At 50.2% G+C, this 14234-nt stretch overlaps 1 annotated feature.

Annotated features, from left to right (window-relative positions):
- Positions 12028–12527: an enhancer, noted in NCBI's record as "H3K4me1 hESC enhancer chr22:45489639-45490138 (GRCh37/hg19 assembly coordinates)". NCBI's record gives its function as "activates a minimal SCP1, AML or CMV promoter by ChIP-STARR-seq in naive H9 embryonic stem cells {active_cell/tissue: H9 hESC(naive)}" and the evidence as "EXISTENCE:reporter gene assay evidence [ECO:0000049][PMID:30033119]".

Genomic DNA, 14234 nt, shown 5'->3' with positions numbered 1-14234 from the left:
CTCTCCTTCCCTCTTAGGGCCCACTGCTACCCCTTGCTTCAGACCCTCATTGTTTCTTGCCCGGGTTACTGCAGCGGTCCTGCCTCCCGCCTCCCAGTCCTTTTGCTTCCTCACCGTCTATGTTATCTCTCAAATAAAATATACAGAACAACATCTGATCACATCCATCCTCTTGGTCCAACCCTTCGCGTAGGATAAGTTCTGCTTGTTTTCCTTCTAGTACTTTACTAGTTCAACTTTTAAATCTACCTACAATTTGTTTTTACTATTTTAAATAACAACTTTATTGAGCGATAATTCACATACCATAACACTCACCCTTTTATACATACAATCCAGTGTATACAGTTTTACAGATACAGTTCCATTTTCGTGTATTCAGGGTTCTATAGTTATCACCCCCATCTGAACGTTTTCCTCAGCCCCCAAAGAAACTTCACGCCCATTGACAGTCACCCCTCCTCCTGCCTCCACTCCAGCCCCAAGCAAACACAAATCTACTTTTCATCTCTTCGGATTTGCCTATTTGGGACATTTTGTATAAATGGTCTTCTGTGACTGGCTCCTTCCACTTAGCATCTTGTGTTCATGATTCATCCATGGTGTGGCGTGTATTAGTACCTCATTCCTTTTTATTGCCAAATAACATTCCAACGTGTGGCTAGACCACAACTTGTCTGTCCACTGCTGAGCTGCTGGATGCTGACATTTGGACTCTTGGGCTCTTATGAGTAACGCTCCCGTGACCATCCCTGTTCGGGTGTTCTGGTGCACACATCTCCAGTTCTCCTGGGAGGATAACACTTTCGAACGATTCGTTTTCTTTTCCTCTCCTCAATTCCCTTTGTTTGCTCTTCCTCCTACTCAAGCAACTATGCAGTCTGGCAGCACTGTCGCAAATGGATACCTTGTTTCTCTCACTGCCTCCCATAGGGTGGGGCTTGGTTTCGATTTGTCACTTGATGTTTACTTTGATCACTTGACAACAGTGGTGTCTGCCAGCATCTCTCTTATAGAGTCATTCCTTTTTTTTTTTTTTTTTTTTTTTTGAGACGGAGTCTGGCTCTGTCGCCTAGACTAGAGTACAGTGGCACGATCTAGACTCACTGCAACCTCTGCCCCCCAGGTTCAAGTGATTCTTGTGGCTCAGCCTCCCCTGTAGCTAGGATTACAGGCGTGTGCCACCACACCTGGATAATTTTTATTAGAGATGGGCTTTTTACCATGTTGGCCTGGCTGGTCTCGAACTCCTGACCTCAAGTGATCCACCCACCTCGGCCTCCCAAAGTGCTGAAATTATAGGCGTAAGCCACCATGCCCGGCCAAAGTCATTCTTTTTTCATGTTCTCTGCCATTTTGTGGGTAGGTACTTTGAAATTCTGCAAATATCTCCATTCCTCACCAAATTCTCAGTGCATTCATTTATTTTTTATATCTGTATGGATTCCTGGTTTCCTGTTATATTCAATGGAGTATAATTTTTTGTGACTATAATTTATTTTTATGTTCAGATTGTCCTAGATTTGGCCAGTGGTCACCTTTCCAAAGCAGCTTCTTGGTTTTTGACGCGTTCTTATTATTCTTTGAGCACTCCCTTCCTCTCTAAAGTCCCTCTCCACATGGTCTCTCATCTTGACCCCAAATTCTGGGTTCAAAGAGGACAGAGTGTTCATCAAGCGTGTGTGGTGTGCATGTGTGTGTGTGTGTGTGTGCGCGCGCATGTGCGTGCGTGAGTGCATGTGTGTGTGAGTGCATGCATGCATGAGTGCGTGTGTGTGTTTAACGCGCTGCTGGACCTCTGGCTAAAGCAAGTCACGTGGCTCAGGCCAGTGTCCACATGGGCAGGGCCACAGAGGGACCCAGGTGGCCTGATCCACTGGGGCCACTAGTCCTACATCTCACCATGCCATTGTTGACAGAGGTGTAGACAAAAAGAAAAAATTTTCTCCTATAAAAATACAAGCCCCCCAAAATTTTACAAATGCCAGCTGAAACCCAGCCTCAGCGTTGGAGAGAAAATAGGGAGTTGCAGGGAACTGACAGAGAATGAAAGGCTCCAAGCCAAGGTGGCAGCCCCTGTGTAGCCCCTGCTCATTGTTCTAGGTAGGACGTAGGACCTAGACCCAGTGTTGCCAGATCTTCCGATTTTTTTTTTCAGAGAAACTGAAACTCTTTAGAGTTTTAGATGAAATTCAGATATTAAAGTATGGGCTCAAATGTTTAATCCTATGGGAGGCAACAGAGCCCACTGGGGCTGGCATGCGGCTGGCAGGCCACTGCTGGCTCCCTCTGGTTGAGGCTTCCGGCATCTGCACTTCCAGGCAGAGCCGGCCCTACACAGCCCCAGAAGGCTTCCGTTGCAAGGGGGCAGAAATCCCACCCACGCTGGGTCTGAAATAGGAGGAAAGTTATCACTCAGTAAATGGTAACTGAAAGGGGCTGGGGCTTTACAGCAGAATCGGAATTGGGAATTTTTTTTTTTTTTTTTTTTTTTTGCGACGGAGTTCCGCTCTGTCACCCAGACTGGAGTGCAGTGGTGCTCTTGGCTCACTGCAGCCTCCACCTCCCGGGTTCAAGCGATTCTGCTGCGTCAGCCTCCTGAGTAGCTGAGATTACAGGCACCTGCCACCACGCCTGGCTAACTTTTGTATTTTTTTTTTTTTTTTAGTAGAGAGACAGGGTTTCACCATGTTGGCCTGGGTGGTCTCGAACTCCTGACCTCAGGTGAGCCGACTGCCTTGGCCTTAGTCAAGGCCAGCACTTTGGGATTGCAGGTGTGAGCCACCTCGCCCAGCCAAATTTTTTTTTTTTTTTTCAGAGGCTGGGGCTGGCTTTGGCTATGCTGATGTCATGGCTCAAGTGACATCCCCAGGCCTCAGTTTCTCCATCTCTTTGCTCTGTTTTCTCATTAGCTGGCTTCATTCTCAGACAGACTTACTCTGTGCAACATGGCAGCTCCCGGCTTCCATGACCCTCGGTGCTTGAGTGCCCCAAAGGAGAGAAATTCCCTTTCCCCAAGTGTTCAGCTCTGCCAGGCTGCCATCCCCTCCCCACCCCATCGGGCACTACATCTGTGCTTTGGGGGCTGCTCAGGAGCCTGCCTGACCTGGGGGAAGCAGGGACATCCACGCCGAATTACACAGAGCAGGACAGCAGCAGGCAGCAAAGGAAAGGGGAAGGAACCCGAGCAGGGAGAAGCAACAAGTGTCAATTAATCATAGGAGGTGAGGCCAGCTTTTGCCTGCAGTCAAGGGACATGAATATTGAGACTCTAGGTCAGCAAGTGACTTGTTTTAGCTCTTACCTATAGGACAAGAACTTAAGAATCTCTTCTGCTTCTCCACTCTGTGCTCTTTTTCCTGCATCTTTTTTGAGATAGAGTCTTGCTCTGTTGCTCCCCAACCCCCATCTTTTTTGAGATAGAGTCTTGCTCTGTTGCTCAGGCTGGGGTGCAGTGGTGCAATCTCAGCTCACTGCAGTCTCGACCTCCTGGGCTCGAGCTATCTTCCCACCTCAGCCTCCTGAGTAGCTAAGACTACAGGTGCATGCCACCATTCCCAGCTAATCTAAAACAATTTTTTTTTTTTGTAGAGACAGGGATCTCACTATGTTGCCCAGGCTGTTCTTGAACTCCTGGGCTCAAGCGATCCTCCTGCCTTGGCCTCTCAAAGCATCAGAATTACAGCCACTGTCCCTGGCCCCTGCACTTTTTACTAAAATCTCTTGATGTTGTGAAGTAAGTCCCTGTCCTGATGGGACTTGGCCATGGCATTCCCTAGGCATTAATTTTGTTGCTAGAACTTGGACACATGGTCAGAGTGGAATCTTGAGACTTTTTTCTTTGTAAGATCTTATATTATTATTATTACTTGCATATTCATTGTAGAAAATTTTAGAAAATACTAAAACTCATAATCCAGTCTCTGAAAGGTAGCCACGGCCAACAGGTTGGCATATTTCTTTCTTTATACCTGGGTACGCTGGTGCTCTATGTACAATTGTGTACCTGCTTTCTAAACTAGAAAATCTCAAGCTCCTCAAGTTGGTAGCGTGATGATTGGCCTGGGACTCCTGAAGTTCCAGCCTCAGGACAGGACAGGACCTGTCCCTGGGACCATGTCCGCTAGCAAGGGGCACAGATGACTTCCCATTTCTGCCTGGCCACATGGCTCCCGATGCTTGGGCTCAGTCTGCAGATGTGATGGAGGAGGAAGGACACGTGCCTCCTTGCTCTGTCTGCTCTCCTTTTCTCTTTGCGCCACCCGGTGGCAGATGAGCAGGACATCCACACTGTCTTTGATGGTTAGGTGCACGACCCCTGACTCCTCACCCCCCCACCTCACCCTAGAAGGATTTGTGAAGATGGTTTCTGAGTGTTCGATGGCCTTCTAGGCTGACAGCGGTGGGTCCCCGGCGATGGTTCTGGCACACCCCCAGCCCATTTACGAAATGCACGCTGTTTACTCCGCGTCTCTTGAGTGGGTCCCAGGGGACCATTTTCCTCCCTTAGGTAAGTCCAAGCTTAGAGAAGTTCAGCACACACAGATTATGCACTCAGCCGACTGAAATGATTTTCTGTTGCGATTAGAGTCAATGGTGAAAATCACACACATCACTTCGTGAAGTAAATTATTGTTCGCTTGATAGATCCTAATAGCTCTCCAGAGTTGTTAAGGCCTAAACAGTCCATGGAGAGTTTGGGGAGGTAGGAGGGTGGGAGGCAGGGGGAGACAGAGTGGGTGAGGGGGGAGGGGAGAAGGGGAGTCTCATCATTCCAGAAAGCAAGGCACGATAAGACTGGCATGCGATGCGCTCTTACTGGAACTCCAATCCTTAACTACTTCTGTACTTCATGGGCTCATAAATATCGCCGAGTCCTTTTCTGTATTTCCGTGCACAACTTTCTGTTTGGCTGATGCCCAGCTCTCTCTTTTTCTGTCAACCCGTTGTCATGCGTGTAAAACACAGAGGAAAGTGCCGGCTGTTAATGTCATCATCGTGCACAGCTGGCTCCTGCTCTGCTTCGAAGCTTAACTCAAGATCCACCTCTGGGTGATACACGACCCTCTACACCCCCTTTCCTCTGAACGCTGATGATGGTGACAGTGATGATTATGACGAAAGCAATGGTGATGGTGACGATGATGATGACAAACAATACCCATTGGCCACTGTCCGTGGGTCCAGCACCGCCTTCTTCAAGACCCTATTCTAAATCCTTTATTCATATCAATCAGTTTAATAGATGGTGTGTCAAGGGAAGCCAGCTGATGTTATCCCTGTTACACGAATCAGGAAACTGAGGCAGGAGAGGCTGAGTGACCCTCCCCGGTCAATACGGCTTGTTAGATGCAGAGTGAGGATCTGAACTCAGGCCCCCAGGCCCTCGTGGGTGAGGCTGCCTCTCCAGGGATCATAGCACTTGGTTTGGCACTTGTACCCCTGCAGGAATTATGAGCTAACTGTCTACACTGCTAAGCTGCCTCCCAGTCTCAAAGCTAAAGAAACCCTCAATCCCCAAAGTGTAGGTAGTAAGCGCTTAACTAATGTGGAGCAGCTGGCAAAGGCCCTGGGGTGGGGGGCAGATAGGGAAGTGCTTTCATTTCACAGTAACAGGCCCTCCTTGGGCTCCAAATACATAAAGGGAACTTTGCGGCCACACCCCAGGTCCTGCTGAACACTGGAAGTCTGGAGATATCTGAAAGGGAGAAACGGGGTGGATGCATGCGTCTAAGGGAGGAGGGCAGGGTTGGGTGGGTACACTGAGGCCCAGGCTGGGTCGCTGGATGAGACTTGATATGTTCAAAAGCGCGTTTTGATTCTTCTCTCCCCAGACTTGCACCTCTTTCTGTCTTCCTCATCTGAGTCACTGAGCAGCCCCATCCTTCCACATTCTCAGGACAAAAGCCAAGGGCTTGGGAGTCATCCTTGACCCCTCTTTCTCTCATCCACACCCAAGCCATCAGAAAACCCCATGCCTCCTCCTCTGGCACAGACCCAGAATCGAGCCCTCCTCACCGGCCACCTCTGCTCCTTCATCAAGCTCCCATCATCTCTGCCTGGGTTTTGACAGTGGCCCCAACTGGCCTTTCTACTTCTTCCTGTGCCCCTGAGTCCATCCTTTCAGAGTAGCCTGGATGACCCTGTGAAATTCTAAGTCTGATCATGCCTCTCCTCTGCCCAATCCCACTCAGGCTCTCATCTCACCCGTGGGGAAAGCCGGTGTTCTCACAACGGAGAGCAAGGCCCCGCGTGGTCAGTCCTGGCCATCTCTCTGCCCACTCTGTCCCGCCTCACCCTGCCCCAGCACTCAGAGCGGGCTCCCCTCCAGGGCCTGTGCACCCTTCCCCAACACCCAGGGCTCACTCCTTCACTGCCTTCACCAATGTCACCAAGTCAGAAAGCTCTTTCCTTCTGTCCCTATTTAAAATAACAGCACACATCAGCCAGCTACCCCTTGTGGGCAAAGGCAGGGCCACTTTTGAGGTCCTCCCTCAAATTTCCATTGTGTGACCTGGTTGGGGATGGGAGGAGTCTTTGCACCGAAGATGTCCCAACTTTGCCCCCTTTGCCCATCAGCCATTTGCCATCACCCTCAAACGGCTCAGCCTCAGGGTTCTGGGCAAGTAAGGGGAGGGGCCTCCCCCAGCACAGAGAAGGAGCAGCTAGAGACAGGGTCCCTGTGCCATCATTCCCGGCTCCCTCTTCCCTTTGGGGGAAGAGGCAGCAGGAATACTTCAGCTTTTCTCTCCCTCAGGGGCAGGTGGCAGAGGGGCACCCAGGGTCTCCTTTGCATATAGGGGAAGGGCTCTAGGTGCCTGCAATGCCTCCCTTGTCTCGGATGATGTGTCCAGCACTCAGATTGTTGTAAACTTTTTTTTTTTTTTTTTTTTTTGAGACGGAGTCTCACTCTGTCACCCAGGCTGGAATGCAGTGGTACGATCTTGGCTCACTGCAACCTCTACCTCCCAGGTTCAAGCAATTCTCCTGCCTTAGCCTCCCGAGTAGCTGAGATTACAGGTGCCCACCATCACACCCGGCTAATTTTTGCATTTTTAGTGGAGACAGGGGTTTCACCATTTGGCCAGGCTGGTCTTGAACTCCTGACCTCAAGTGATTCACCTGCCTCGGCCTCCCAAAGAGCTGGGATTACCGGTGTGAGCCACCTTGCCTGGCCAGATTGTTGTAAACTTTTGTTTTGTATGAGCAAAATTGTCTTTACTAAACAGATTTTGATAGTTAAAATAAAATAGCAGCCCCCTCCCTCTGTTTTTCTCTACAGCAGGTGTCACCAGCTGCCATGCTAGGCATTTACTTGATTTGTTCATTGTTGTTGTTGGACTGTAGGCTCTGCCAGGTCAGGTAATTTTGTCTGTTTGGTTTGATGTCAGATTTCCAGCACCCAGAACGGTCCTTGGTATGTCACAGTGTCAGTATTTGCTGGTGAATGGATAAATGAATGAGTGAAAAATAAATGACCATCCCATTCTGGGGCGTGATACTCAATTCAGTCTGACTTGGCACTTTGGGCCTTACATCTGACTCTCTTCCTCTTTTTAGATAGTGATAAAATATACCTAACATAAAATTCACCTTTTTTTTTTTTTGAGATGGAGTCTCGCTCTGTTGCCCAGGCTGGAGTGCAGTGGTGCGATCTCTGCTCACTACAAGCTCTGCCCCCCGGGTTCATGCCACTCTCCTGCCTCAGCCTCCCGAGTAGCTGGGACTACAGGTGCCTGCCACCACGCCTGGCTAATGTTTTTGTATTTTTATTAGAGACGAGGTTTCACAGTGTTCACCAGGATGGTCTCGATCTCCTGATCTCGTGATCTGCCTGCCTCGGCCTCCCAAAGGGCTGGGATTACAGGCGTGAGCCACCACGCCCGGCCAAAATTCACCATTTTAAGCATTTTAAAGTGCACAGTTCAGGGACGTAAGTACATTCACATTGTTGGGCAACCATCACCACCACCCATCTCCAGAGCTTTTTCATCTTTCAGACTGAAACTCTCTACCCACTCCTTCCCCAGCCCCTGGTAAACCTCAATGCTACTTTCTGTCTCTATGAATTTGACTATTCTAGGTACTTCATGTCTTAGTGTGTTTTGTGCTGCTATAACATATAACACAATAGCGTAGATTAGGTAATTTATTAAGAACGTAAATTTGGCCGGGTGTGGTGGCTCACACCTGTAATTCCAGCACTTTGGGAGGCTGAGGCAAGTGGATCACCTGAGGTCAGGAGTTTGAGACCAGCCTGGTCAACATGGTGAAACCCTGTCTCTACTAAAATTACATACACACACACACACACACACACACACACACACACACACACACACACACACAAATTAGCCGGGCATGGTGGCACGAGTAATCCCAGCTACTCAGGAGACTGAGGCAGGAGAATCACTTGAACCTAGGAGGCGAAGGTTGAAGTGAGCCGAGACTGTGCCATTGCATTCCAGCCTGGGCAACAAGAGGGAAAGAACATAAATTTATATCCTCACAGTTATGGAGCCTGGGAAGTCCAAGATCAAGGTGTTGGCATCTGGCTAATGCTTTTCGTATTAGTCCGTTTTCACACTGCTAGTAAAGACATATCCAAGACTGGGTAATTTATACAGGAAAAAGGTTTAATGGACTCACAGTTCCACATGGCTGGGGAGGCCTCACAATCAGGGCGGAAGGCAAGGAGGAGCAAGTCACATCTTACCCGGATGGCAGCAGGCAAAGAGAGAGCTTGTGCAGGGAAACTCGCCCTTATAAAACCATCAGATCTCGTGAGACTTATCCACTGTCACAAGAACAGCATGGGAAAGACCCACCCCATGATTCAATGACCTCCCAGTGGGTCCCTCGACAACACATGGGAATTGTGGGAGCTACAATTCAAGATGATACTTGAGTGGGGACACAGCCAAACCATATCACCTTCTTTCTGTGTTATCTCATGACAGAAGGCAGAAAGGTGAGAGAGAGAGAAAGAGAGAGAGAAGGTGGGGGGAGAGAGAGAGAGAAGGTGGGGGGAGAGAGAGAAAGAACGAGCAAGCTGGACTCATTCTTTTATAAGAAACCCACTCCCACGATAACATTATCCATTCATGAATATCTTCATGAATGTATTTGTGAGGGCAGGGACCTCATGATCTAATCACCTCCCATCAGGCAGCCCCACCTCCCAACACTGCTGCACTGGGGATTAAGTTTCCAACATATACTTTTTGGGAAACACATTGAAACCACAGCACCTGATGTAAGTAAAATCATACAGTATTTGTCGTTTTATGACTGGCTTATTTCACTTAGCATAATGTCCTCTAGGTTCGCCCATGTCAAAGCAAAGGTGAGAATTTCCCTCCTTTTTAGGGCTGGATAATATTCTATTGTGTGGATAGACCTCATTTTGTTTACCCATTCATCTATAGATGGACGCTAGGGTTGCTTCCAGCTTTTGGCTGTTGTGAAGACTGCTGCTCTAAACACGGATGAGCAAATAGCTGTTGGAGTCCCTGCTTTCAATTCTTTGGGGCATTTACCAAAGTGGGATTGCTGGATTACACGGTAATTCTGTGTTTAATTTTTTGAGGAATCACCACACCTAACTCTTTCTCAGTAAAATACTTTAATGTGAATTCCTACCTTTCAAGTCCCACCTCCTTGGTGACAATTCTCTGACCATCTCTATCCCCTGGAACCTCTGATCTGAGGACTCTCCTCCATGTCCTGCTGCCTCCCAGACATCTCCAACGCTCCATTGGTGTGGATTTGTGACAGTTCTGTCCTTTCGGGCTGCGAAAAGCTCTGGTGGCCCCTCTCTCTGTCACTAGATGGCACTGGAGAGTAGTTTGGGTTTGCTTCCTCCTGGAGAAAGCCTTCTTGTTTTCTTCTAGGCTAGGGTGGTGATTCCTCATGCCAGGCTGGGTGGAACTGCTTTTCAGCGATCCCTGCCTGGGGTCACATTTCCTTGAAACTTGGCCATGGCTTGGGTTTCTATGGCTTTGGTTAGGGAAGCCTCCTCTAGCCTCTCTGAAAGGAGTAATGGTACTGGGAAAACATTGGTACGTTGGAAAGAACATTGGATGGGGTGCCACAAGGACCTCCATCTGAATCCTTGTTCCATCGAGAACTCTGTGTGACTTGAACAAGCCAGTTGGACTCTCTCAGCCTCAGTTTCCCTACTTGTAAAACCACTGTGTTGGATGAGTCAACGACTCTCATTTCTGCCAGAGCATGAGACTCCCCGGGGGGGAAAGAATATCAGTGTGGGCTGAATCAGAAGCTCCAGGTGGAGTGCTTTCAAAGCTCCCCAGGTGATTCTCATACAGCGTGGTGGGGAATCCCTGGGTTCAATGGGCCCTGAGATCCCTTCTTGCTGCACAAGGCTCTGTGCCTTCCCAGCTGCGTGACATGGAGCAAGTAACTCCTTTAAGCTCCAGTTTTTTCATCTTATAAAATGGGAATAATAATGGCACCTATCACCGCATGGGGTGTGCGGGTCAGAGGCGAGCTGAGCACTGCATCTCACATGTGCCTGGCACAGCCAGCGCTCAGAGGGCAGTGGGTCTTCCAACTCCTAGATTGGCTCTTCTCGGGACACAGGCGGCAGGGGTGCAGCAAAATCACCTGGAGAGTTTTTGTCAAGACACCTGCCTGAGGATCCACATCCTGAACTTCCAAATCAGGGGAACTCATTCGAATTAGAGGGCCTGGGTAGATCCAGGCTCTGAGTTATTTGAAACAGCACCCAACACCTCAGCACACTGCCTGACTCTCATGAGATGCTCAACACGTTAGGTTACACAGGTCATTTCATTAAGGGAAGCTTCTAGAAGAAAGCGTCCCTAGAGGCCGGGCACGGTGGCTCATGCCTGTAATCCCAGCACTTTGGGAGGCCAAGGTGGGCGGATCACCTGAGGTCAGGAGTTCAAGACGAGCCTGACCAACATGTTGAAACCCCGTCTCTACTAAAAATACCAAAAAATTAGCCAGGCGTGGCGGCAGACACCTATAATCCCAGCTACTTGGGAGGCTGAGGCAGGAGAATCGCTTGAACCCGGGAGGCGGAAGTTGCAGTGAGCTGAGATTGTGCCATTGCACTCCAGCCCGGGCGACAACAGAGAGACTCCGTCTCAAAAGAAAAAAAAAAAAAGAAGAAAAAAAAGAAAGTGTCCCTAGAGCTGAGTTTTGAAGGCCAACAAGGAGTTAGCAAAGCGAAGAAGGGTGGGGAGTTTTCTCACCAGACAGAGGGAATGGTGAGTCAGATGAGAGGCTGGGGCAGAAAGGACTGAGTTTATCCACTCACACGCCTTTCAGACCGCTGACCCTGCACCGGGTTCTGGACAGAGAGCAAGGTGGGTGCGTTCCCTGCCCCTGCAAAGCTTATGTTCCAGAGGAGAAGCTGTGGGACAGGAGACCCAAAACCATATACTGAGAACCCAGAAGTCTGAGCTCTGTCCTGAGAGTTCTGAAGAACCCTGAAGGGTTTAAGACAGGGGCTAGCCAGGGTGACGTGGCATTGCCAGAAGCTCATGGTTCCAGTGGATGTTGGATTGGAGCCATGAGGAGGGGGGGGAAGAGGGAGGAAGGAGATCTGTGGGGAGGTCACCGTGGTCATCTCGGTCATCTGGGGAAGGGTTGCTGGGGCAGTAGTGGCGAATGGAAGGGGCGAGGGGCTCAGTGACTGCACATGTCTGGTGAGGAGGAGGAGGAAGAGCAGGAGGAGGAGGAGGAAAGTGGGAGCGCTGGTTAGAGAGGTCAGAGTTGGGGCCTGCGTGGCGCTGTGGCCGCGGGAGGGCTTGGCGGTCCCTGAGTGCCCCTGGGAAGTGTCAGGGTTGGAGCAGAGGGAAACATGCCCTGACCTGGGCTCTAAAAGGGCCACCCTTTGTGCAGAGAGGAGGGGGCAACGGTAGAAGCAGAAGGTCCAGCAGGAGGAGACTGTAGCCATCCAGTGGGCAGGCGAGGGGAGGGCATCCCTCATGGTGGTGGGGTGGGAGCACTGGGGGCACCGGAATTGCTGATGGATTGGATTGAGAGTGAGAGGGGAGTCGAGGGTGACTCAGGTTTGTAGCCTGAGCAGCGGGAGGGTGGAGCTGTCATTCATGGAACTTGGGAGGCTGGAGAGGGATTTAGCTGGGGAGTTGGGGGTGTGCGGCGTCAGAGTGGGGTCGTCAGAGTCAGGCTGGAGAGTCCTCTGAGTGTGGCATGTATGATGCTATTTCCAGTCAAGGGATATCCCAGGGGCTCTGGCCATGGGAGGTTCTTGGTGATCTTGGCCTCTGCAGCCTCAGGGGGGTGGCCTGGCTGGGAGCTGGAGGGGAGTGGGCCAAGGAGGAGAGGGGTAGGAACCAGTGGAGGTGGTTGGGGAAGCAAAGGTTGACAGCCACGTTGGTCACCTCCGGCTGCCCTAACAAAGCAGCATGGACTGCGTGGCTGAAACCACACACACTCATTTCTCACAAGCTCAGGGTGTGGCATGGCAGGGCTCTGGGAGGCCTCCCTTGCTGGTCTGCAGACACCGCCTTCTCACTGCGTCCTCACACGGCAGAGAGAGAGGGTGCGGGCTCCATGGTGTCTTTCTCTTGTAAGTAAAACCGTGCCCCCAAGAGTCAAAGATACAGACGGCCAGCAGAAATTCTTGAGTTTGCAGGGTGGCAGATGAGAAAGGAAACAGCTGGCTGGAATACTGAAGCTTCCTCTGCCCATGAGATGAAAGAATGGGCTGAAGTCAGTCGCAGCCCCGGGGACCGGCTGGAGTCCGTGCAGAACCCGCCTGCCAACGTCGCAGCCTGAATCGCCCCCTGAATTTGCACATGTGACACACGAGGTAGCATGAAGAGGTGACTGCACATGCCTAAGGACTTTCCAGACCTCCACTTTCTTCCGCCAATCACCTACAGATCCCAGAATCCACCCCTTGGACCTTTCCTAATAAAAATACTGCCTTGAGGCCAGGCACAGTGGTCCAGGCCTGTAATACCAGCATTTTGGGAGGCCGTAGTGGGCAGATCACTTGAGGAGTCCGAGACTAGCCTGGCCAACATGGTGAAACCCTGTCTCTACTAAAAATACAAAAATTAGCCAGGTATGGTGGCGGGTGCCTGTAATCCCAGCTAGTCTCGAGGCTGAGGGAGGAGAATCGCTTGAACCTGGGAGGCGGAGGTTGCAGTGAGCCGAGATCGTGCCACTGTACTCCAGCCTGAGCAACAAGAGTGAAACTCTGTCTCAAAAAAAAAAAAACAAAAAAAAGTAAATAAATAAAAAACACTGCCTTGAAGTATTCCAGCACCGGGAGACAGACTTGAGCTTGTCTCCTGTCTCCTTGGGAGCTGAGTTTCAATACAAAGGTTTTATTTTCTCAAAAACTCAGCATCATAAGATTGGCTTCTAGCACATCGGGCAGCAACCCCGTTTTGCCCTACAGCACAAGGACACTAACCCTGCTGTGTCAGGGCCCCACCCTTATAACCTAATTTAACCTTAATGTCTTCCTTAGAGGCCCTATCTCCAAATACAGTCACCCTGAGGGTTAGGGCTTGAACATGGATTTTAAGGGGACACAATTCAGTCCACATCAATACCTCACATGGGGGGAAGCCAGGCCCTCTGTCCTAAAACCCACCCGTCTCCCCAGGCTTGAGAACTGCTTTCCAGCCTATAAGAGAACAACCCCTTCTCCTCATAGAGCGAGGAGCCCTCCAGAGATTCTGCTGCCCCTCTGCTTCTAGAAAGACCCTTCTCCTCATAGAGCGAGGAGCCCTCCAGAGATTCTGCTGCCCCTCTGCTTCTAGAAAGACCCTTCTCCCCACTCCACCTTCCCATGTATCAGGCCCAGCCGCACACCCATCCGCTGTGAGTATGTTCTTGCTTTGTAAAAACTGTGCTGACACCAAACTCATCAAATTGTATATATTAAATATATGCCGTGTTTTGTATATCAAGTATACCTTAAAGCCATATTTATTTATTTATTGAGATGGAGTTTCACTCTTGTTGCCCAGGCTGGAGTGCAGCGGTGCAATCTCGGCTCACTGCAACATTTGCCTCCCGGATTCAAGTGATTCTCTTGCCTCAGCTTCCCGAGCGCCTTTCTTACAGGTGCCCGCCACCGCGCCCAGCTAATTTTTTTTTGTATTTTTAGTAGAGATGGGGTTTCACCATGTTGGCCAGGCTGGTCTCGACCTCCCAACCACAGGTGATCCGCCCGCCTCGGCCTCCCTAAGTGCTGGGATTAC

This window comes from Homo sapiens, chromosome 22, assembly GCF_000001405.40.
Source record: "Homo sapiens chromosome 22, GRCh38.p14 Primary Assembly".
Classification (NCBI taxonomy): domain Eukaryota; kingdom Metazoa; phylum Chordata; class Mammalia; order Primates; family Hominidae; genus Homo; species Homo sapiens.
This window is presented reverse-complemented; position numbering and strand designations above follow the sequence as displayed.